This window comes from Homo sapiens, chromosome 21 (genome assembly GCF_000001405.40).
Source record: "Homo sapiens chromosome 21, GRCh38.p14 Primary Assembly".
Classification (NCBI taxonomy): Eukaryota; Metazoa; Chordata; class Mammalia; order Primates; family Hominidae; genus Homo; species Homo sapiens.
In genome coordinates, this window is record NC_000021.9 from 9,798,661 (window position 1) to 9,821,443 (window position 22,783).

The window sequence follows — 22,783 nt, forward strand, 5'->3', positions numbered from 1 at the left end:
ATCGTATCTCTGGAAAGAAAACTGTTGCAATCTATACACCTGCTTTCCAAAACATGTGTGGCTCTTCAGTAGCTATTTTGCTGCCTTCTACCTACTCCGGTGTGCTGTTGGCTATGTCCAGTGCTGAGGACTGGGGAGGAGGCTTTTCTTCCCGCTTTAGGATCATGGTGATGTCCTTGCTGACGACTGGGGAGGAGGTTTTTCCTCCCACTTTAGGATCATGGTGATGTCCTTCCAGAATTTGAACTGTGCTTTGGTCCTGAGCATGTCCTGGGGTGCAACATTCATTGTTCTCATTTGTTAGAGAATACAAGATCAGAATTTAAATAGTCACTGTTTTCCAAGATGCAAAGTGATACGCTCTTGGTGTTTTAAAATCCTATCTGTTGATCTGATTGGCTGGTATTCCAGTCTTCCCTGTTTATTGCTCTGTGACTGGTGGGATTTGCCAATAGGTCCAAGTACTTTCTCTTTCCAGAAGCATACCATAATATTGGTGTAGGATTTGTGGCCGGAACTTACTGGGCATCACCCCAGTTACTGTCCTAATACCTCATATTGTGTCAGAAGCTGACAATAGGAGTTGAAAATGCCATAATATGAATCTGTTCTCATAGTGAAGGTCGTAATGAGAACGGGAAAAGCTGCAGACCGAACCAGTTCTCATTATGTTCTGAAGCCACATTTCCTCCCCACAACATGAATTGTATGGTCCAGGCTCTTTAATCAAGAAATGTTCCATTTGAAAGCATTCCTCATCCCACAGAAAACACAAATTTCACTTTGGAGCACATATCTAGTAGGAGAATTTGTTTTCTCATTCAATTAACCAGATTGAAAATGTAAGAACACTATTATGGAAGCTTCAATGTCAATGTGTGTGTGTATGATGATTGTTGCTAATTAAAAATAAGCTGATTTAGGACATTTGAAGCAAAGAAGCACTCACATTCCCTTATCTCAGCATTTAAACAGTGCCTGGACTCTGTGCCCTCTGCCCACATTATCTGGCTGTGCGTGGCATAGCTTCTGGCTGCAATAGTGGGAAAGAATTTAGCAGATGTTCAAAAACAAATACATTGTTAGCTTATATTGTTGTTGTTGTTAAGGCTGCTTCACGTATTTTAAATTTTTCTTTTCCTTCTGGGAGAGGAGTTACTACTATTAACAATTCTGCACATTGCTTGAGGCAATGATAAACCATATTACCCTATTTATTTTACTCTCATTGCTATTTGAGAAAATGGTGGGCCATATATGCTTGTAGATTAGCTGGTGTCTTTTTGAAGCTACTGGCAAGGCTATGTTTAAAGTTTCAGTTCTAATAAAAATGTGTTTAAAGCAACCAATGGCACCGTACAGGGAATGGCAGAGGAAAGGTCATTCTGTGTGTCCTGCAGCCTCAGAAGTGGGATCTTCCCCACACTTTTCTGTGAAGACAATGCAATTCAGAGCAGAGACATCTTCAAAGCTGCTTTGCACATGATGGTAATGAAGGATTGCAATGTGAGATCACTGGGATTCCCAATACCACAAACACTGGTGTTATGAAAGGATGCTTAGTCCCAGCATGCCTAAGAAAAATAAATCTGATTCCTAGTCTTGGAAATCCCATCTCATGCATGATGCCATGTTTCCAAAACTGGAACATTTCTACTGACTTATTTCCATGACTTCCTTTGCTCCAGCCACTGAACACTCACTCCCGGTGTGTCCTTACTAAAATGTTAGTTAATGTGTTATCTGTTCATGATAGTGCAGCTGTCTGCATAACTTCTGTGTATTTGTTTATTTATTTAATTTATTTTTTTGAGATGGATTCTTGCTCTGTTGTCCAGGCTGAAGTGAATTGGCGCGATCTCGGCTCACTGCAACCTCCACCTCCTGGGTTCAAACGATTCTCATGTCAGCCTCCCGAGTAGCTGGGATTACAGGCACACACCACCATGCCCAGCTATTTTTTGTATTTTTAGTAGAGACAGGGTTTCACCGTGTTGGCCAGGCTGGTCTTGAGCTCCTGACCTCAAGTGATCTGCCTGCCTCTGCCTCCCAATGTGCTGGGATTACATGGGTGAGCTGCCACTCCTGGCCAACTTCTGTGTATTTATTGAGGGAGGTGATTTGTGTGGGGATGGTGGAAGGATTGGGGCATGTGAAAGAGAAGGAGTCCTGGTTTGTAAGTTAGATCATGTGAGGGATAGGGATAGGGAGTGGAGCACAGAGTGAATGAGACCACACACGTGTAAGAGGGAATGATGAGCAGGCAGGAAGAGAGGGTTGGTGTAGGAAAGGGTTGGTGCAGGAAAGGGGTGGTGTAGGAAAGGGTGGTATAGGAAAGGGGTGGTGTAGGAAAGGGTGGTGTAGGAAAGGGGTGGTGTAGGGAAGGGGTGGTGTAGGAAAGGGGTGGTGTAGGAAAGGGATGTTGTAGGAAAGGGTGTTGCAGGAAAGTGTTGGTGTAGGCAAGGGTTGGTGTAGGAAAGGTGTGGTGTAGGGAAGGGGTGATATAGGAAAACTTTGGTGTAGGAAAGGCTTGGTGTAGGAAAGGCTTGGTGTAGGAAAGATTTGGTGTAGGAAAGGGGTGTTGTAGGAAAGGGTTGATGTAGGAAAGATTTGGTGTACGAAGGGGTTGGTGTAGGAAAGGGGTTGTGTAGGAAAGTGTTGGTGTAGGAAAGGGGTGGTGTAGGGTGCTGACATTTGCATAAATTGCACTGGGGTAGGAGTGGATGATGATGGAAAGTTGGAAGAATGTGATATTTTGGTGGAAATAATAACTTAGAAACTGAGTCATCTTTTAGCTACAGAGAAGGGTATTCCCTTCACCATATAGTGAGCGGTTGCTGTATCCATGGCTCTTGACAAAGATGTTCACTTTGTGCCTTTTCCTGCATTATTGGCATCTGGAGTTCTAACAACCAAGAGAGACAGAGGTCATAGTGGAATCAATATTTCTATTACAGATAAGAAAATCCCAGAAGGAGGGCCTACATAGATTAACCTGTACACAACCAAACTAAGATTTAAGAATTTTTCTGAAGATAATCCTGGGATTATGTCTCACATTTCATTTTAAGCTTCTTTCTTCATTTCCCTTTGCTTTATATTTCTCTCTCCTATTTTATTCCTCCTTGAAATAAAATGGGACAATAATGTGTTTTAAATGTAGAATCAAGGAATAACAAGAAATCATCATTTCAACTGCTATCATGTCCAGTGAAATTAAATGCTTGGATAATTACTTTGTTAATTACTAACAACTCCAAAATTCTGATTCTCAATCCACAGTCTATTGAATCATATAAATGGCTTGCTTTTATTGAATGGAAAAAGACAAAGAAGAAAAAGAGTGTCCAGTAGAGAGGAGGAGAAAGCACTACAGGGAACACTAGGGTCCCCATGATAAGTTCACTTTATTCCACTCCATAGTTCCTGTTAATTAGGAGCTTCCAATCATTGCAGCAACATGGGTTCCTACACTTCAATCCAACCCCTCCTCTTCTACTATCCCTAACTTTGACTAGTATGAGATGAATACTTGAGCTCAGCAACTTCCCATGGCTTTCGAATCTCAGGAGTTGTTCTTACTCTTTTTGATATAACAACCCTCAATTAATGTTTGGTATTCTTATGCAACCAGTGGGAAAACAAGTATGCATCTGGAAAGCTTAGAAAATATAGAGATAGTCATATACCTAGGCTTGTTTTTATTTTAATTGAGTAATTTGCAAAGGTATCTTCTATATTAATAAATGCACATTCAATTCAAACAGATTGATATTGAATTAATAGGAAGTAATAAATTGGTTTATTTATGCTAGTGGAATTAAAAAATCTTGCTACTCTATACATTCAATTTCTAGTCCCTACTTTGAAAAGAGCATTTTCTTCCTTTTGAAATATATTTGAGCATAGTAACTTTCAAGGTCCTAAGTTTATTGGCATAATTTAATGGAAAAATTTATGCTCTAAAGCATTCATTTTTTTCCCCAAGCTTTGTGGTTTTCAATTTCTCATCTACTGGATGGCTTTTAGTTTACATGGCAGAACAGAATCTTCTCAACTTTTTGATTCCCCTGATAAAATATTCAATAGAGAATTAAGTCAAAATTTGCTTCACCCAAGGACATGATCTCATCCTTATTCTTGTCTTCATGCCTATTGAAATACAGCTATTCTTATATGTATTTAGCTAAGTGATAGGCTTAAGCATCAGTTATCTTTTTTGGCTAATTTGTTTCAAAAGTAATTGAGCCCATGTACACATGAAATAATATGTAAAACAGTAAAGATCCCTGTACACAACAGTATTGAAGCCACTGTAATATTTCAAGACTAAATTAGACACTCTCTTCCTAGCCCCCTTTCACTCCTCCACCCTCCACCACATAGGACACTTTCTGGAAAAGAAGTCCAGGCAAAGAGACGTTAGTTTAATTGTTGCTAACGTCATATAAAAATGATCACCAACTTGGAATTTCTGAATTCACATGAAAGGGTGATACTGAGTTTAAACGTAAAGTTTCATATCCCATTGGTGTCAAAATTGGTGGATAGAAAGAGTACAGGATTGTAAAGCAATTTCAGAGCAAGCTTCTAATGGCAACTTTAGTCCACAGTTTGGATCCTGTGCCCACCTGACATCTATTCTTTTTTTGAGTTGGAGTCTTGCTCTCTCTCCCAGTCTTGAGTGCAGTGGCGAGATCTGGGCTCACTGCAAGCTCCGCCTCCTGGGTTCACGCCATTCTCCTGCCTCAGCCTCCCTAGTAGCTGGGACTACAGGCGCCCACCACCAAGCCAGCTAATTTTTTGTATTTTTAGTAGAGACGGGGTTTCACGGTGTTAGCCAGGATGGTCTCGATCTCATGACCTCGTGATCCACCTGCCTCGGCCTCTGAAATCTATTCTTAGCTGTAGGTGGGGACCAGGACCAGAATCTTCAGAGCAGGCCCTAGAAAGCTGGGAAGTCAGGGGATTCCACTACAGGTTTCTCTATTCTGTCGGCATTTTAAGTGGTTCTGTTTAGATCTAGGCACATTAGAGCTACCCCTCAAACAGACGACGACTCTTAAGAGCCCCGGAATTTCTTTATTACCCAGGGAGTCACTGGGGACTGGCAGTAGGTGCCAGGTTTGGCGATGGCGTTTTGTGAATCACTGAGCTCATCTCAGGGCAGAGCAGCTTCCTAATGTGACTGTCATCTCCTCTTCCTTTCCCTCCAACACCAGCCACACTTCACCACACTGGCCAGGTGTTTACCAACCTACCCCTTCGTACAAAGTTCAACCTGACATTGTTTGGTAGTCAATGATATAAAGCTTGTTGTCTAAGTCAGCATCTGCAGTTTTACCGACTGATAGCAAGGTACAAGATAGAATATGATTCGGGACAGGAGTCATCAACGTGTTGCCTTTCTGTTGCATGGAATGAACGTTTTGAAGTTGGAAGTGTCCTGAAATTTCAGGACTTCATCTTAAAGATGAAAAAAAGATGAGGTGTCATGCACAGACAGCTATTTTGTGGCAGCATTTGAATTCAACCCCAAGTCAAGTTATGATATCTCCTGTGTCAGAGGAAAGTACTTTTGATAATCCTAGAAATATCAAGACTCCAGTGGCAGTGAATATTTGATTTCCACTTTGAAATGTAGATCACATTAGCAGGATATTCCCTAAAGGAGCTTTATACACAGTTGGTCCTCCCTCTGTCAACCTCATCTCCGACTCAAGTGGATCGAGTTCAAAACAGCCACACTTGTTCCAGAAGCCAATTTTGTTTGGGCCATAATATAGAGATGGTCCCATCCAGCCTTTAAGCATGCTAAGCACAGGTAGCTGTTTGTTACAATAGTTGAAAGGAGAAAGCCATAAAAACAAAGTCTCCCACTATTTCATCCAATTTAAAATTGCGGAAGGTGACAGAAAATATAACTGAAAGCTTTCCCTAACCTCTCTTTAAAGAAGTCCTAGAAAAAAAAAAGAAAGCATTTATTTCCTTGATGATTTCTAAGTAATAACTAAATATGGATGCAATTTTGAACCGTGTATGGATGTTCCCAGTATAATGTTCCTCTTTTGGAGACATCGCATCATATTTATTTATCTCACTCCCTGTCCTTTCCCCCATTAAAGTGGACCTGTGCATAGTTGATGCTTGTACCAAGATACACACCTTCTTCCTGTTTCCAGGACGGTACGATGGGAGGCAGGAGTGAGTGTCCGGAAAGAGGGAAGAAAAAAAAAAACAAATCTCATCATTGCTTATTTGTCTACTGCTTTTGGCTCTGCTGAGATGTGAAGTCATTCTCATTTCATTGTGTTCGGAAGTATAGCCTGCGACTTGTTGAAAGCTTAGCGCTAGACCTGCCTCTCAGAGACTTGCTCCCTCTGGAAATGCCCAGCTGAGGATGCGCGTGGTGCGTGTTGAAGAACACTGCCTTAGAGGTGGACACTTGGGGACAGGTGCGCTGCGGCCGGACTCGTGGACAGTTGCGCTGCGGCTGGAGCTGGCCCCGCATTTCTTCACTTTCTGAATCGTAATGCTCTCAGTGAGTTGCAATTTCATATTGCTACATTTGTTTTTACTGGTGTTAAATTCAGGCAGTTAAATCTTTCAAGGGTTACTAAAAAATGCGAATATTTGTGTATTTACATGTCTAAGGAGAAGACCCTTTGGCAATCCAGGAGGAGACAAGGACTCAGGCTTTTTCTTCCAGTTAACTGTGGAGGACACGCCATTGCTGCTGTGGCTGCTGAAGGAGGAGAAATCTCCTTGTTCTCCCGTCTTCCTGCTCTCCAGTCCCCTGTCTGGGCTTCCCATTTGCTGAACACAGCCAGATGCCAGCCGAGCTCAGGAAGCGTAGTTTGCAGGGGGTGTATCCAGAGACACAGCTCGGAGCAAGGGAAGCGAGAGGAAGAGATCCAACCTTAGGACAAAGGGCCAAGAACTTGGAGAGGACTTGGCCTAGGAGACAATCTAGGGCAAGCACGTTATCCAGGGTGACTGGGCAGGCAGAGAAACCCCAAGAGGCATAGAGCTCATGTCCGTTCAAAGTAGGAGAGTCTGGGCTCTGCTCTCGGAGTCGGAGCTGGGGGCCTTCAGGGTACTTCCTATGGAGACAGCCTAGTTTATCAGAAAAAAGGGAACTTTCTTTTTTACCATCTAGCCTTCACCTTGGCAGGGAGACAGGTGTTTTGAGTAGAAACACTTCAACTCGACATGTCAAACCAGTGCTTCAGCAGAGCTGTGCCTGGCCCGCCCACCTCTCCCCTGCCCTCGGTTTTGGTCCAGAGTCTATTCTGAATGTCTGATGTCTCTCTTGGTTAGTGTGATTGAAATACGGCAGAAAGCCGATTGCATCGTGTGGGGAAGTTGAAATCAATGCAACCAACAATTATATTAACGGTCTAGTTAAGAATAAAAAAGTAATAGAACAGACGTGCCTTGGTGAACATTTATTTTCTATGGAGAAATAAACATAGTTGCTGCTTTTGGACTCCACCCTGGGCAACAAGGTAATGAATGTGGAGTTAGGTGGTGACTAAAGAATTTGGATTCTTTCCTCCAGGTTACAATGCTCGTTAAGGGGCAGCCTGTAATGAAACCTGCGATATGTGCTAGAACCAACTAAATGATTATTTTAAAAGTCACAGTCTGCATGGGGCTTCATAAATTCACACCAGGGAGAGCTGTCTAATGGGATTGCCACCTTCCACCCCCAACGCAGACTTCAAAGCTCCTTGCTAGGTCTCCACTCAAAGGCTTATCCCATGGCCCGAGCAAGGAAGGCCTTTGTGTGTGAAAACACCTGCCACCCAGCTTCAGGAGCACTGAGCGCTTTCGGCATGGCCGTCCCCACTGGCCCACATGGCATTTCTTACAGTGAGCTTGGTTTTTGACTGCATTGTTTTGCTTAACAAGCTGTTTTTTTTCTACAGATGTAACCTTTTCCTGTGTTTCCTGACTGGGACATCAGCCAGGTATTCTAGCCAACTTTGGTAGATATATATCATTGTTTTTGTGCCAGGCTTGTTTTAAAAAATCTACCTATTGCTTGCCCTGATCAATCCATCACTACCCTTGAAAAGGTCATGGTTCTCTCATCAGGAAACTTTTCAAAAATCCTTGGCTGTGATTTATCTTATGTTATGGGCTCTGACAGTGATTCTCAGGAAGTGAGGCCCATTAGTTTCTTGTAAGGTCACTCCCCTGCTGTTGCATGCAGAGTGAGTATCAGTTGTGCTTGCCTGAGTTTGAAGCATCCTCTTGGGTGATTTCAAGGGGGGCAAAGGCAGGGCCATGACTGGTTTCTGTGTGGAGACTCACACGGGTGAGACAGGTGATCCATGGTGGAGAGGGAGGGTGTCTCTTGTAGGTGCTAGAGCCTCAAAGATAGCTCTTATTTTCAATCCTGCTTCTCCAAGATTCAGTTCACAAAGATAAGCATGCCTGGAAATATTTAATATTTTATCTTATTATATTCATATTCTGTGGTTGTTTAAAAATTCTTCAGTATGTTATAAACAAATGTTTCTGATTGCCCATAAGCTTCGTAGGGACATTAATTATTACTGACATGAGAAATTAAAGGCAGCCTAGATATTATTTTTAGGAATTACAGCATTTGAAAATCATATTCAGTGAATTTCAGAGAAATTATATCTATACTATTTAACACCGAGTAATGTTTAGTGAAAGGGTCAGACACTTTGGGGTAAAAAGCGGCATTATGAAGTCAAATAATTTGTTTTCATGTTTAGGAAGACATTTTTAGGGATATAGTTTTGGTTATATGAATTCTTTGTGATAAGGGCAAAATCAGATATTATACAGGAAGCATTTATGATACCCATTCAATTGTAAGATCTCACTATTTTCCCATTCAATAATCTCAGCCACCTAAAATACGTCCAGTGTATATTTTCTGTTCTTTCTAGATATATCGTCATTTCAAATGCTCATTTCAGCCATGATCATTTATTCCAGAAACACTTGTTAGGACATTATACTTATTTCCTTTAAGTATAAGGTCCTGTGTTGACTACTGAGAATGAAAAACTGAACAAGACAGAAAGTCCCACCTTGAAGAGCTTCCAAGTGTAGCGAGTCTCCTGGCATCAGGTATGGCTGGTATCATGGAAACACTCGGCTGACTGTCCAGGAGATGCTGGTTAAGAGGTGGAAGGTGATGGCGTGAAATCAAGTTCAGGTTCAGGGGACACTCCTGAGAGCATTCCTGCCCTGTCCCCGTGGCCTGAGCGGCCTTCTCAGTTGCACAGGTAGGTTTTCTCTGCTCTGCACTCCCTCTGTCCCAAGGTACCCTTTAGCAAAGTGTAAATTTGTAAGAGTGGTTAGCCCTGGACTTTATCTCAAGTCTGTAATAAGGGCACCTACACTAAGACTGAAACTGGAACATGCTATTGGTGATCAAACCATCAGTGTTAATAAGTCACTTAAGTTACATTTATGGACTGGAGAAAGAAATGGAAGAAAATCAGAGTACAAATAATAAATGGTTACCAGGTCCCTAGATCTGAAAGGGCGAATACATTCATGCAGTAGGTGTCCAGGATACTCATGTGGTCCTCCTTCATGCTTAGGAACACAGACGCTCATCTTCACTATGCAAACCAGAGCCTGCGTGCCTTTCGTGGTCCTTCATATTTGCAGTGTGTGGGTTGGAGTTGCTTTCTTAGCCATGACAGTGACTGAAGGGAATATCAGAGTCTGTTAATGAATGATGTTTAGAGATTTCATTTTCAAAATATATTTTTAAATTACCTAATTATATGATATTGTATTGGAAAGTTCTTAGATTAGGTTTCACTTTAGAAATGTGATTTGGCCCTAAGAGTGATAGGAAAGAAATATGTTCCTAATTATTCTCAGATAATTAAAATTCATCCTGTTCTTTATGCTTGTTGAATTAAACATAAAGGGAAGACATCTTATTGTTTAATAATTAAAATAATTTGAATTAGATTTTAAATTGGCCTCAGGAAGATCACCTTGGTTCATTTACTGATAATACATTCCAAAACTGATGATTCTAACTACTTACCTTTGAAGGAAAAAATTTGGATTTTTTTCCTCATTTCTTCTCTCCCTCCTCCTTGAGAGTAATGTGGTGTGGTGGAAGAAAGATTTGCTGAGTGTTTGGAAGCTTACGTTTTAGCTTGGCCTCCAATATTTCCTCATAGTAAATCTCTAAAGCCCTTTGAATTCTTTGAATTCAATTTCCTCTGTGGCAAAATGGAGCTAGTAATGCAACCTCATGCAAACAACAGAGACTCAGATGAGAGAACTGATATGAAGACATTAATACAGCTGCAAAACATTATATAAATGCAAGGTATTATAATTACTAGTTCTGGTTCAATACAAGGCACTCCATGCATGTGGAAAATAACTACCTATGGCCAAAAGGCGCATCATGAGTGTCTCCTCCTGCCACGGCTCCCCAGGTCTTCCGTCATCCCATTTCATTCCTAGAGGCAACCACTGTTCCTGGTGAGTGCTAAGGACCTTCTGGAAATAGCGACACAGCAAGAGATTTTGCTAAGTATGTTTAATAGACATAGGGCCCACTTCCCAGGAGAATACCTTTTAATTTTAGTAGGACACAGTTTTCTCAAGATTTGCTCAAGATTTAAGGAATCGTACTTGCTCAAGATTTAAGGAATACCACTTAGGAATTTTTTTGGTTAAAATAGAAAAGAGTAGGATCTGTATGCTGTTAGCTTGCTGAACCAGCCGTTTCTCAGATGTGGGGTGAAATTCATGGAGTACCACCGAAGGGGTGGAAATAACACAAGGAGCATGAGGTATCAGCCACATAGCTGCCTTCACTACCCAAAAGGTAGCATTTCTTTTCAAAGCTGTTTCTCCCCTTTCTCGTTTGTAGATCACTGGGTGACAGCTCTGACAGAAACGAATAGCAGGTGGGATGACATGCGTTCGTGGGATTTAGGTTATAGTTTGGCTGTAACATATTGCTGTGTCTCTTTTTCCAGACATGCCTTCATTTCGTAGGCTCAACACCTCTTTTCAACGTAATGATTAGATTCAAGGCCTGCATTTCAGTCAAGACGTAGTCACGAGTCACTGTGTTCTTATTGTCACAGCTGGGGCTTCAAGCCCACATCAGCTCTTCCAGAAGATCAAGGGAGTCAGGCCACCCAGAAGCAGAGGAGAGGATGTCCCTCAAGAATGAGACAGGAAATGCAGAGGAAATGGGACACCACCTGTCCTGGAAGACAAGGCCAGTCACAGTCTCGTAGCACTCATTCTAGGCAATCCACCCACCCATGAGGGAAAACGTGGGGAAGAAGAAAGCTTCCCTGCCTGAGACACGTATGGAAGCCAAGAGCTCCTGGGTCATGATACCTGCCCAATTAAGCAGAAACAGGTTTGGAGACAGAAACGATCATGACACGGACCTCCAGGAAGTGTCTCCTTGACGGACTGGGAAGTCATCTTTGTTGAAGGCATTCGGCCAGAGCGAAACACATCCAGGCCCCTGAGAAATAGGGGAGGCAGAGCCAGAGGGAGGAGAGAGCAGAGGCCAGAGCACAGGCAGGATACAGCACTGTGCCACGGCCACGGGTGTAAGGGGTGGGGTTCCAAAAGGGTGGCTTGTCCAGAGAGGCCAGCGTTCCAGTGACAGGGATTGTTGCCATCTTCCATTCCCGGTTTCCTCTTGCTGACTGTATCGTGGAGTGGCTTCATTTCTCAGAGAAGAGCCGTGAAGAGATACAAGCGTCTTCTCTAGCGTGGATCCGCTGCTCTCCTGTGGGACAAAGAGTTCCTCTGGGGCTCTTGTCCTCCGCTGCAGTATGTTCATCTTGATCCTAGAAAAGAGGCTGCACAGGATGGGGATGAGATTTCACTTGCTCCGGGAGCGACGCGTCTCCTCACGTGGGCCAGGCTTTCACACACCCAAAGCGGATCCGCCGCGGCAAAAATGATTGACAGCCGGCTTCATGACCCAGGCAGAGAAGCAGAAAGAGGCTCGCCAAAGACAGGCCACCATGCGACAAACCACTTTGTGCCGCACAGGGCACATTCGGCCAAAGACACACATGCACACCGGCATACACACACAAATCCATAGAGAGAGGGAAAGAAACACACAGAGACTGAGAGATAGAGAGAGAAGAGAGAATGGGAGACACACAAACAGACACACACACACACGCAGAGTCATACAACAGAGGCATTGAAACACACACCCTCTGGCAACCCCTGAGGCTGCGGGATTCTGCTCTGGAGGAGAACGACCCTCGGGTGAGAGAGCAGCCCAGGGGCACGCAGGCCGACCCGTCCTCGAGATCACGGACGGCGGCACGACTTTTGGTGAGACTCACCCCAACCAAAACCGTCGGTGCAGGCCTGAGGCTGGGATCCCGTGCTGCTTCCCCCGTCTCCGCCTGGGGTTTCATCATCATGGTCGGCCCTTTGCGACTGCTGTCATCAGGAGAGGTTCCCTTCGACCCCGTGGAAAGGTGAGGCCGGAGCCTCAGAGCCTGGATGCCCAAGCAGTGCCAAGGAGGGCTCCTGCTCTGCCAAGCCTCGGGAACTGGTGTCTAAGACAACCGTGGGAACCACTGTGACGGGAGAAACCGCTCGCGCCTAGCGCATGCGCATTGGCTGAGCCGACTCACGCTCCACTCCTGACAGATAGGCTGCGTCCCCTTTAAATATCGCCACCGCCGCGCGGCGGCCGCGATGCTCCTGCTGCCGCCCCGGCAGCGCCTGTGTCCTGGGTCCTGTTTCAGGCGGCGTGGGAGAGGGGGCGACGGGTGTCTGGTCCTGTCCCAGGCCCAAACCCCCAGGGCTCCTGTCCTCAGGACCTGCTTGAGCCGACTTCCACCAAGGGAGGGGGAGCTTCAGGACGCCTGCTGTGTTCTCTGGACTCCCGTTGAGATCCCATTCTGGCCCCCTCCGAGTGACATAGGATGGGCTCACCACATGTGGTCAGGCCGGCAGGGCCTCGCTGCAGCACACAATGACCCCATAGTTCTCAAGGCCTAGTGTCAGAGCAAACTCATTCATCCATCAGCCCTCTGCCTCCCTCCTCCTTTGAAAGAGCAGTGGCCTGCCCCGCTTGTAAAAGCCGAGGGGTTCCGGAAAGCCGACCATGCTTTACAGGACAACTGCAAAGAGGAACAGAGGCGAAATCCAGGGGGAGACCATGTGACCACGCGTGGCACTGGCCAATCCCACAGCAGTTGGTGTTAACGTGTGACACCGGAGGCAAACGGGGCGACGGCGAAACGAAGGGTGGGGTCCATGCACGTGCCGGTGGAAGGGGGAAACGGGTGACCTTTCCGTCAATGCCAAGGAAAATCAAACAACACCTGGGACCCGGAGGGTGTAGGGGACGTCTGTGCCTGACCCAAGCCACGTTTTCAAATGCCTACCAGAGGAACAAAGAGGTTTCTGCCAATTTCGCAACACCCCCAATCCTCCACCGAACTCGTAGCCCTGATGCAACTTCGGCTGGAACAAACCCACAAAGAGTGGGAAAGAAACACACAGAGACTGAGAGACAGAGGGAGAAGAGAGAATGGGAGACAAACACACAGACACACACACACACACGCAGAGTCATACAGCAGAGGCATTGAAACACACACCCCCAGGCAACCCCTGAGGCTCCGGGGTTCTGCTCTGGAGGAGAACGACCCTCGGGTGAGAGAGCAGCCCAGGGGCACGCAGGCCGACCCGTCCTCGAGATCACGGACAGCGGCAAGGCTTTTGGAGAGACTCACCCCAACCAACACCGTCCGTGCAGGCCTGAGGCTGGGATCCCGTGCTGCTTCCCCCGTCTCCGACTGGGGTTTCATCATCATGGTCGGCCCTTTGCGACTGCTGTCATCAGGAGAGGTTCCCTTCGACCCCGTGGAGAGGTGAGGCCGGAGTCTCAGAGCCTCGATACCCAAGCACTGCCACGGAGGGCTCCTGCTCTGCCAAGCCTCGGGGACTGGTGTCTAAGACAACCGTGGGAACCACTGTGACGCGAGAAACAGCTGACGGCTCACGCATGCGCATTGGCTGAGCCGACTCACGCTCCACTCCTGACAGATAGGCTGCGTCCCCTTTAAATATCGCCACCGCCGGGCGGCGGCCGCGATGCTCCTGCTGCCGCCCCGGCGTCGGCTGTGTCCTGGGTCCTGTTTGGGGCGGCGTGGGAGCGGGGGCCGCGGGTGTCTCGTCGTGTCACAGGCCCAAACCCCCAGGGCTCCTGTCCTCAGGACCTGCTTGAGCCGATTCCCAGCGAGGGAGGGGGAGTTTCAGGACGCCTGCTGTGTGGCTCCGGACTCCCGTTGAGATCCCATTCTGGCCCCCTCCGAGTGACATAGGATGGGCTCACCACATCTGGTCAGGCCGGCGGGGCCTCGCTGCAGCACACAATGACCCCATAGGTCTCAAGGCCTAGTGTCAGAGCAAATTCACCGATCCATCAGCCCTCTGCCTCCCTCCTCCTTTGAAAGAGCAGTGGCCTGCCCCGCTTGTAAAAGCCCAGGGGTTCCGGAAAGCCGAACGCGCTGTACAGGACAACTGCAAAGAGGAACAGAGGCGAAACCCAGGGGGAGACCATGTGACCACGCGTGGCACTGGCCAATCCCACAGCAGTTGGTGTTAATGTGTGTCACCGGAGGCATACGGGGCGACGGCAAAACGAAGGGTGGGGTCCAGGGATATGCCGGTGGAAGGGGGAAACAGGTGACATTTTCGTCAACGTCAAGGAAAAACAAACAACACCTGGGAACCGTGGGGTAGGGGGGCCTCCTGTGCCTGACCCAAGCCACGTTTTCAAATGCCTCCCAGAGGAGCAAAGAGGTTTCTGCCAATTTCGCAACACCCCCAATCCTCCACCGACCTGGTAGCCCTGACGCAACTTCGGCTGGTACAAACCCACAGAGAGTGGGAAAGAAACACACAGAGAGTGAGAGACAGAGAGAGAAGAGAGAATGGGAGACACACACACAGACACACACGCACACACACGCAGAGTCATACAGCAGAGGCATTGAAACACACAACACCAGGCAACCCCTGAGGATCCGGGGTTCTGCTCTGGAGGAGAATGACCCTCGGGTGAGAGAGCAGCCGAGGGGCACGCAGGCCGACCCGTCCTCGAGATCACGGACGCCGGCACGACTTTTGGTGAGACTCACCCCAACCAACACCGTCCGTGCAGGCCTGAGGCTGGGATCCCGTGCTGCTTCCCCCGTCTCCGCCTGGGGTATCATCATCATGGTCCGCCCTTTGCGACTGCTGTCATCAGGAGAGGTTCCCTTCGACCCCGTGGAAAGGTGAGGCCGGAGCCTCAGAGCCTGGATACCCAAGCACTGCCACGGAGGGCTCCTGCTCTGCCAAGCCTCGGGGACTAGTGTCTAAGACAACCGTGGGAATCACTGTGACGGGAGAAACCGCTGGCGCCTAGCGCATGCGCATTGGCTGAGCCGACTCACGCTCCACTCCTGACAGATAGGCTGCGTCCCCTTTAAATATCGCCACCGCCGCGCGGCGGCCGCGATGCTCCTGCTGCCGCCCCGGCAGCGCCTGTGTCTTGGGTCCTGTTTCAGGCGGCGTGGGAGAGAGGGCGACGGGTGTCTGGTCCTGTCCCAGGCCCAAACCCCCAGGGCTCCTGTCCTCAGGACCTGCTTGAGCTGACTTCCACCAAGGGAGGGGGAGCTTCAGGACGCCTGCTGTGTTCTCTGGACTCCCGTTGAGATCCCATTCTGGCCCCCTCCGAGTGACATAGGATGGGCTCACCACACGTGGTCAGGCCGGCAGGGCCTCGCTGCAGCACAAAATGATCCCATAGGTCTCAAGGCCTAGTGTCAGAGCAAATTCACTCATCCATCAGCCCTCTGCCTCCCTCCTCCTTTGAAAGAGCAGTGGCCTACCCCGCTTGTAAAAGCCCAGGGGTTCCGGAAAGCCGACCGTGCTTAACAGGACAACTGCAAAGAGGAAGAGAGGCGAAATCCAGGGGGAGACCACGTGACCACGCGTGGCACTGGCCAATCCCACAGCAGTTGGTGTTAACGTGTGACACCGGAGGCAAACGGGGCGACGGCGAAACGAAGGGTGGGGTCCAGGGATATGCCGGTGGAAGGGGGAAACGGGTGACATTTCCGTCAACGCCAAGGAAAAACAAACAACACCTGGGAACCGTGGGGTAGGGGGGCCTCCTGTGCCTGACCCAAGCCACATTTTCAAATGCCTACCAGAGGAGCAAAGAGGTTTCTGCCAATTTCGCAACACCCCCAATCCTCCACCGACCTGGTAGCCCTGACGCAACTTCGGCTGGTACAAACCCACAGAGAGTGGGAAAGAAACACACAGAGAGTGAGAGACAGAGAGAGAAGAGAGAATGGGAGACACACACACAGACACACACGCACACACACGCAGAGTCATACAGCAGAGGCATTGAAACACACACCCCCAGGCAACCCCTGAGGATCCGGGGTTCTGCTCTGGAGGAGAACGAACCTCGGGTGAGAGAGCAGCCGAGGGGAACGCAGGCCGACCCGTCCTCGAGATCACGGATGGCGGTAAGGCTTTTGGCGAGACTCACCCCAACCAACACCGTCCGTGCAGGCCTGAGGCTGGGATCCCGTGCTGCTTCCCCCGTCTACACCTGGGGTTTCATCTTCATAGTCGGCCCTTTGCGACTGCTGGCATCAGGAGAGTTTCCCTTCGAGTCCGTGGAGAGGTGAGACCGGAGCCTCAGAGCCTGGATACCCAAGCACTGCCACGGAGGGCTCCTGCTCTGCCAAGCCTCGGGGACTAGTGTCTAAGACAACCGTGGGAACCACTGTGACGGGAGAAACCGCTGGCGCCTAGCGCATGCGCATTGGCTGAGCCGACTCACGCTCCACTCCTGACAGATAGGCTGCGTCCCCTTTAAATATCGCCACTGCCGCGCGGCGGCCGCGATGCTCCTGCTGCCGCCGAAGCGGCGGCTGTGTCCTGGGTCCTGTTTGGGGTGGCATGGGAGAGGGGACCGCGGGTGTCTCGTCCTGTCCCAGGCCCAAACCCCCAGGGCTCCTGTCCTCAGGACCTGCTTGAGCCGACTTCCACCAAGGGAGGGAGAGCTTCAGGACGCCTGCTGTGTTCTCTGGACTCCCGTTGAGATCCCATTCTGGCCCCCTCCGAGTGACATAGGATGGGCTCACCACATGTGGTCAGGCCGGCAGGGCCTCGCTGCAGCACACAATGACCCCATAGGTCTCAAGGCCTAGTGTCAGAGCAAATTCACTCATCCATCAGCCCTCTGCCTCCCTCCTCCTTTGAAAGTGCAGTGGCCTGCCCCGCTTGTAAAAGCCCAGGGTTTCCGGAAAGCCGAACGCGCTGTACAGGACAACTGCAAAGAGGAACAGAGGCGAAACCCAGGGGGAGACCATGTGACCACGCGTGGCACTGGCCAATCCCACAGCAGTTGGTGTTAATGTGTGTCACCGGAGGCATACGGGGCGACGGCAAAACGAAGGGTGGGGTCCAGGGATATGCCGGTGGAAGGGGGAAACGGGTGACATTTCCGTCAACGCCAAGGAAAAACAAACAACACCTGGGAACCGTGGGGTAGGGGGGCCTCCTGTGCCTGACCCAAGCCACGTTTTCAAATGCCTACCAGAGGAGCAAAGAGGTTTCTGCCAATTTCGCAACACCCCCAATCCTCCACCGACCTGGTAGCCCTGACGCAACTTCGGCTGGTACAAACCCACAGAGAGTGGGAAAGAAACACACAGAGAGTGAGAGACAGAGAGAGAAGAGAGAATGGGAGACACACACACAGACACACACGCACACACACGCAGAGTCATACAGCACAGGCATTGAAACACACACCCCCAGGCAACCCCTGAGGATCCGGGGTTCTGCTCTGGAGGAGAACGAACCTCGGGTGAGAGAGCAGCCGAGGGGAACGCAGGCCGACCCGTCCTCGAGATCACGGACAGCGGCGCGACTTTTGGCGAGACTCACCCCAACAAACACCGTCCGTGCAGGCCTGAGGCTGGGATCCCGTGCTGCTTCCCCGGTCTCCACCTGGGGTTTCATCTTCATAGTCGGCCCTTTGCGACTGCTGGCATCAGGAGAGTTTCCCTTCGAGCCCGTGGAGAGGTGAGACCGGAGCCTCAGAGCCTCGATACCCAAGCACTGCCACGGAGGGCTCCTGCTCTGCAAAGCCTCGGGGACTGGTTTCTAAGACAACCGTGGGAACCACTGTGACTGGAGCAACCGCTGGGGCCTCGCGCATGCGCATTGGCTGAGCCGACTCACGCTCCACTCCTGACAGATAGGCTGCGTCCCCTTTAAATATCGCGACCGCCGCGCGGCGGCCGCGATGCTCCTGCTGCCGCCGCGAAGGCGGCTGTGTCCTGGGTCCTGTTTGGGGTGGCATGGGAGAGGGGACCGCGGGTGTCTCGTCCTGTCCCAGGCCCAAACCCCCAGGGCTCCTGTCCTCAGGACCTGCTTGAGCCGACTTCCACCAAGGGAGGGGGAGCTTCAGGACGCCTGCTGTGTTCTCTGGACTCCCGTTGAGATCCCATTCTGGCCCCCTCGGAGTGACATAGGATGGGCTCACCACATGTGGTCAGGCCGGCAGGGCCTCGCTGCAGCACACAATGACCCCATAGGTCTCAAGGCCTATTGTCAGAGCAAATTCACTCATCCATCAGCCCTCTGCCTCCCTCCTCCTTTGAAAGTGCAGTGGCCTGCCCCGCTTGTAAAAGCCCAGGGGTTCCGGAAAGCCGAACGCGCTTTACCGGACAACTGCAAAGAGGAACAGAGGCGAAACCCAGGGGGAGACCATGTGACCACGCGTGGCACCGGCTAATCCCACAGCAGTTGGTGTTAATGTGTGTCACCGGAGGCATACGGGGCGACGGCGAAACGAAGGGTGGGGTCCAGGCATATGCCGGTGGAAGGGGGAAACGGGTGACATTTCCGTCAGTGCCAAGGAAAATCAAACCACACCTGGGAACCGGGAGGTGGGGGTGCCGACTGTGCCTGACCCAAGCCACGTTTTCAAATGCCTACCAGAGGAGCAAAGAGGTTTCTGCCAATTTCGCAACACCCCCAATCCTCCACCGACCTGGTAGCCCTGACGCAACTTCGGCTGGTACAAACCCACAGAGAGTGGGAAAGAAACACACAGAGAGTGAGAGACAGAGAGAGAAGAGAGAATGGGAGACACACACACAGACACACACGCACACACACGCAGAGTCATACAGCAGAGACATTGAAACACACACCCCCAGGCAACCCCTGAGGATCCGGGGTTCTGCTCTGGAGGAGAACGACCCTCGGGTGAGAGAGCAGCCGAGGGGCACGCAGGCCTACCCGTCCTCGAGGGCACGGACGGCGGCACGACTTTTGGTGAGACTCACCCCAACCAACACCGTCCGTGCAGGCCTGAGGCTGGGATCCCGTGCTGCTTCCCCCGTCTCCGCCTGGGGTTTCATCATCATGGTCGGCCCTTTGCGACTGCTGTCATCAGGAGAGGTTCACTTCTACCCCGTGGAAAGGTGAGGCCGGAGCCTCAGAGCCTGGATACCCAAACACTGCCACGGAGGGCTCCTGCTCTGCCAAGCCTCGGGGACTAGTGTCTAAGACAACCGTGGGAACCACTGTGACGGGAGAAACCGCTGGCGCCTAGCGCATGCGCATTGGCTGAGCCGACTCACGCTCCACTCCTGACAGATAGGCTGCGTCCCTTTAAATATCGCCACCGCCGCGCGCGCCGCGATGCTCCTGCTGCCGTCCCGGCAGCGCCTGTGTCTTGGGTCCTGTTTCAGGCGGCGTGGGAGAGGGGGCCACGGGTGTCTGGTCCTGTCCAGGCCCAAACCCCCAGGGCTCCTGTCCTCAGGACCTGCTTGAGCCGACTTCCACCAAGGGAGGGGGAGCTTCAGGACGCCTGCTGTGTTCTCTGGACTCCCGTTGAGATCCCATTCTGGCCCCCTCCGAGTGACATAGGATGGGCTCACCACACGTGGTCAGGCCGGCAGGGCCTCGCTGCAGCACAAAATGATCCCATAGGTCTCAAGGCCTAGTGTCAGAGCAATTTCACTCATCCATCAGCCCTCTGCCTCCCTCCTCCTTTGAAAGAGCAGTGGCCTACCCCGCTTGTAAAAGCCCAGGGATTCCGGAAAGCCGACCGTGCTTAACAGGACAACTGCAAAGAGGAAGAGAGGCGAAATCCAGGGGGAGACCACGTGACCACGCGTGGCACTGGCCAATCCCACAGCAGTTGGTGTTAACGTGTGACACCGGAGGCAAACGGGGCGACGGCGAAACGAAGGGTGGGGTCCATGCACGTGCCGGTGGAAGGGGGAAACGGGTGACCTTTCCGTCAATGCCAAGGAAAATCAAACAACACCTGGGACCCGGAGGGTGTGGGGGACGTCTGTGCCTGACCCAAGCCACGTTTTCAAATGCCTACCAGAGGAACAAAGATGTTTCTGCCAATTTCGCAACACCCCCAATCCTCCACCGACCTCGTAGCCCTGAAGCAACTTCGGCTGGCACAAACCCACAAAGAGTGGGAAAGAAACACACAGAGACTGAGAGACAGAGGGAGAAGAGAGAATGGGAGAGAAACACACAGACACACACACACACACGCAGAGTCATACAGCACAGGCATTGAAACACACACCCCCAGGCAACCCCTGAGGCTCCGGGGTTCTGCTCTGGAGGAGAACGACCCTCGGGTGAGAGAGCAGCCCAGGGGCACGCAGGCCGACCCGTCCTCGAGATCACGGACAGCGGCGCGACTTTTGGCGAGACTCACCCCAACAAACACCGTCCGTGCAGGCCTGAGGCTGGGATCCCGTGCTGCTTCCCCGGTCTCCACCTGGGGTTTCATCTTCATAGTCGGCCCTTTGCGACTGCTGGCATCAGGAGAGTTTCCCTTCGAGCCCGTGGAGAGGTGAGACCGGAGCCTCAGAGCCTCGATACCCAAGCACTGCCACGGAGGGCTCCTGCTCTGCAAAGCCTCGGGGACTGGTTTCTAAGACAACCGTGGGAACCCCTGTGACCCGAGAAACCGCTGGGGCCTCGCGCATGCGCATTGGCTGAGCCGACTCACGCTCCACTCCTGACAGATAGGCTGCGTCCCCTTTAAATATCGCGACCGCCGCGCGGCAGCCGCGATGCTCCTGCTGCCGCCACGAAGGCGGCTGTGTCCTGGGTCCTGTTTGGGGTGGCATGGGAGAGGGGACCGCGGGTGTCTCGTCCTGTCCCAGGCCCAAACCCCCAGGGCTCCTGTCCTCAGGACCTGCTTGAGTCGACTTCCACCAAGGGAGGGGGAGCTTCAGGACGCCTGCTGTGTTCTCTGGACTCCCGTTGAGATCCCATTCTGGCCCCATCGGAGTGACATAGGATGGGCTCACCACATGTGGTCAGGCCGGCAGGGCCTCGCTGCAGCACACAATGACCCCATAGGTCTCAAGGCCTAGTGTCAGAGCAAATTCACTCATCCATCAGCCCTCTGCCTCCCTCCTCCTTTGAAAGTGCAGTGGCCTGCCCCGCTTGTAAAAGCCCAGGGGTTCTGGAAAGCCGAACGCGCTTTACAGGACAACTGCAAAGAGGAACAGAGGCGAAACCCAGGGGGAGACCATGTGACCACGCGTGGCACTGGCCAGTCCCACAGCAGTTGGTGTTAATGAGTGTCACCGGAGGGATATGGGGCGACGGCGAAACGAAGGGTGGGGTCCAGACATATGCCGGTGGAAGGGGGAAACGGGTGACATTTCCGTCAATGCCAAAGGAAAATCAAACAACACCTGGGAACCGTGGGGTAGGGGGGCCTCCTGTGCCTGACCCAAGCCACGTTTTCAAATGCCTACCAGAGGAGCAAAGAGGTTTCTGCCAATTTCGCAACACCCCCAATCCTCCACCGACCTGGTAGCCCTGACGCAACTTCGGCTGGTACAAACCCACAGAGAGTGGGAAAGAAACACACAGAGACTGAGAGACAGAGAGAGAAGAGAGAATGGGAGACACACACACAGACACACACACACACACACACACACACACGCAGAGTCATACAGCAGAGGCATTGAAACACACACCCCAGGCAGCCCCTGAGGCTCCGGGGTTCTGCTCTGGAGGAGAACGACCCTCGGGTGAGAGAGCAGCCGAGGGGCACGCAGCCCGATACGTCCTCGAGATCACGGACAGCGGCAAGGCTTTTGGCGAGACTAACCCCAACCAACACCGTCCGTGCAGGCCTGAGGCTGGGATCCCGTGCTGCTTCCCCCGTCTCCGCCTGGGGTTTCATCATCATGGTCGGCCCTTTGCGACTGCTGTCATCAGGAGAGGTTCCCTTCGACCCCGTGGAGAGGTGAGGCCGGAGTCTCAGAGCCTCGATACCCAAGCACTGCCACGGAGGGCTCCTGCTCTGCCAAGCCTCGGGGACTGGTGTCTAAGACAACAGTGGGAACCACTGTGACGGGAGAAACCGCTGGCACCTCACGCATGCGCTTTGGGTGAGCCGACTCACGCTCCACTAATGACAGATAGGCTGCATCCCCTTTAAATATCGCCACCGTCGCACGGCGGCCGCGATGCTCCTGCTGCCGCCCCGGCGTCGGCTGTGTCCTGGGTCCTGTTTGGGGCGGCGTGGGAGCGGGGGCCGCGGGTGTCTCGTCGTGTCACAGGCCCAAACCCCCAGGGCTCCTGTCCTCAGGACCTGCTTCAGCCGATTTCCAGCGAGGGAGGGGGAGCTTCAGGACGCCTGCTGTGTGCTCCGGACTCCCGTTGA

The 22,783-nt window shown here is 51.1% G+C and overlaps 1 long non-coding RNA gene across 1 annotated transcript in view; it reads right to left on the bottom strand.

Moving 5' to 3' along the window:
- The window catches only part of LINC01667 (long intergenic non-protein coding RNA 1667), a 39,214-nt gene extending 16,813 nt beyond the window's left edge, over positions 1 to 22,401 (bottom strand). The window contains exons 1-3 of the long non-coding RNA NR_038377.1: positions 22,226 to 22,401; positions 9,514 to 9,701; positions 9,075 to 9,314 (exon numbers count right to left, since the gene is read on the bottom strand). This is a non-coding gene — a long non-coding RNA (long intergenic non-protein coding RNA 1667). The remainder of the gene's footprint in view (positions 1 to 9,074; positions 9,315 to 9,513; positions 9,702 to 22,225) is intronic.
- Positions 22,402 to 22,783: the final 382 nt, after the last annotated feature.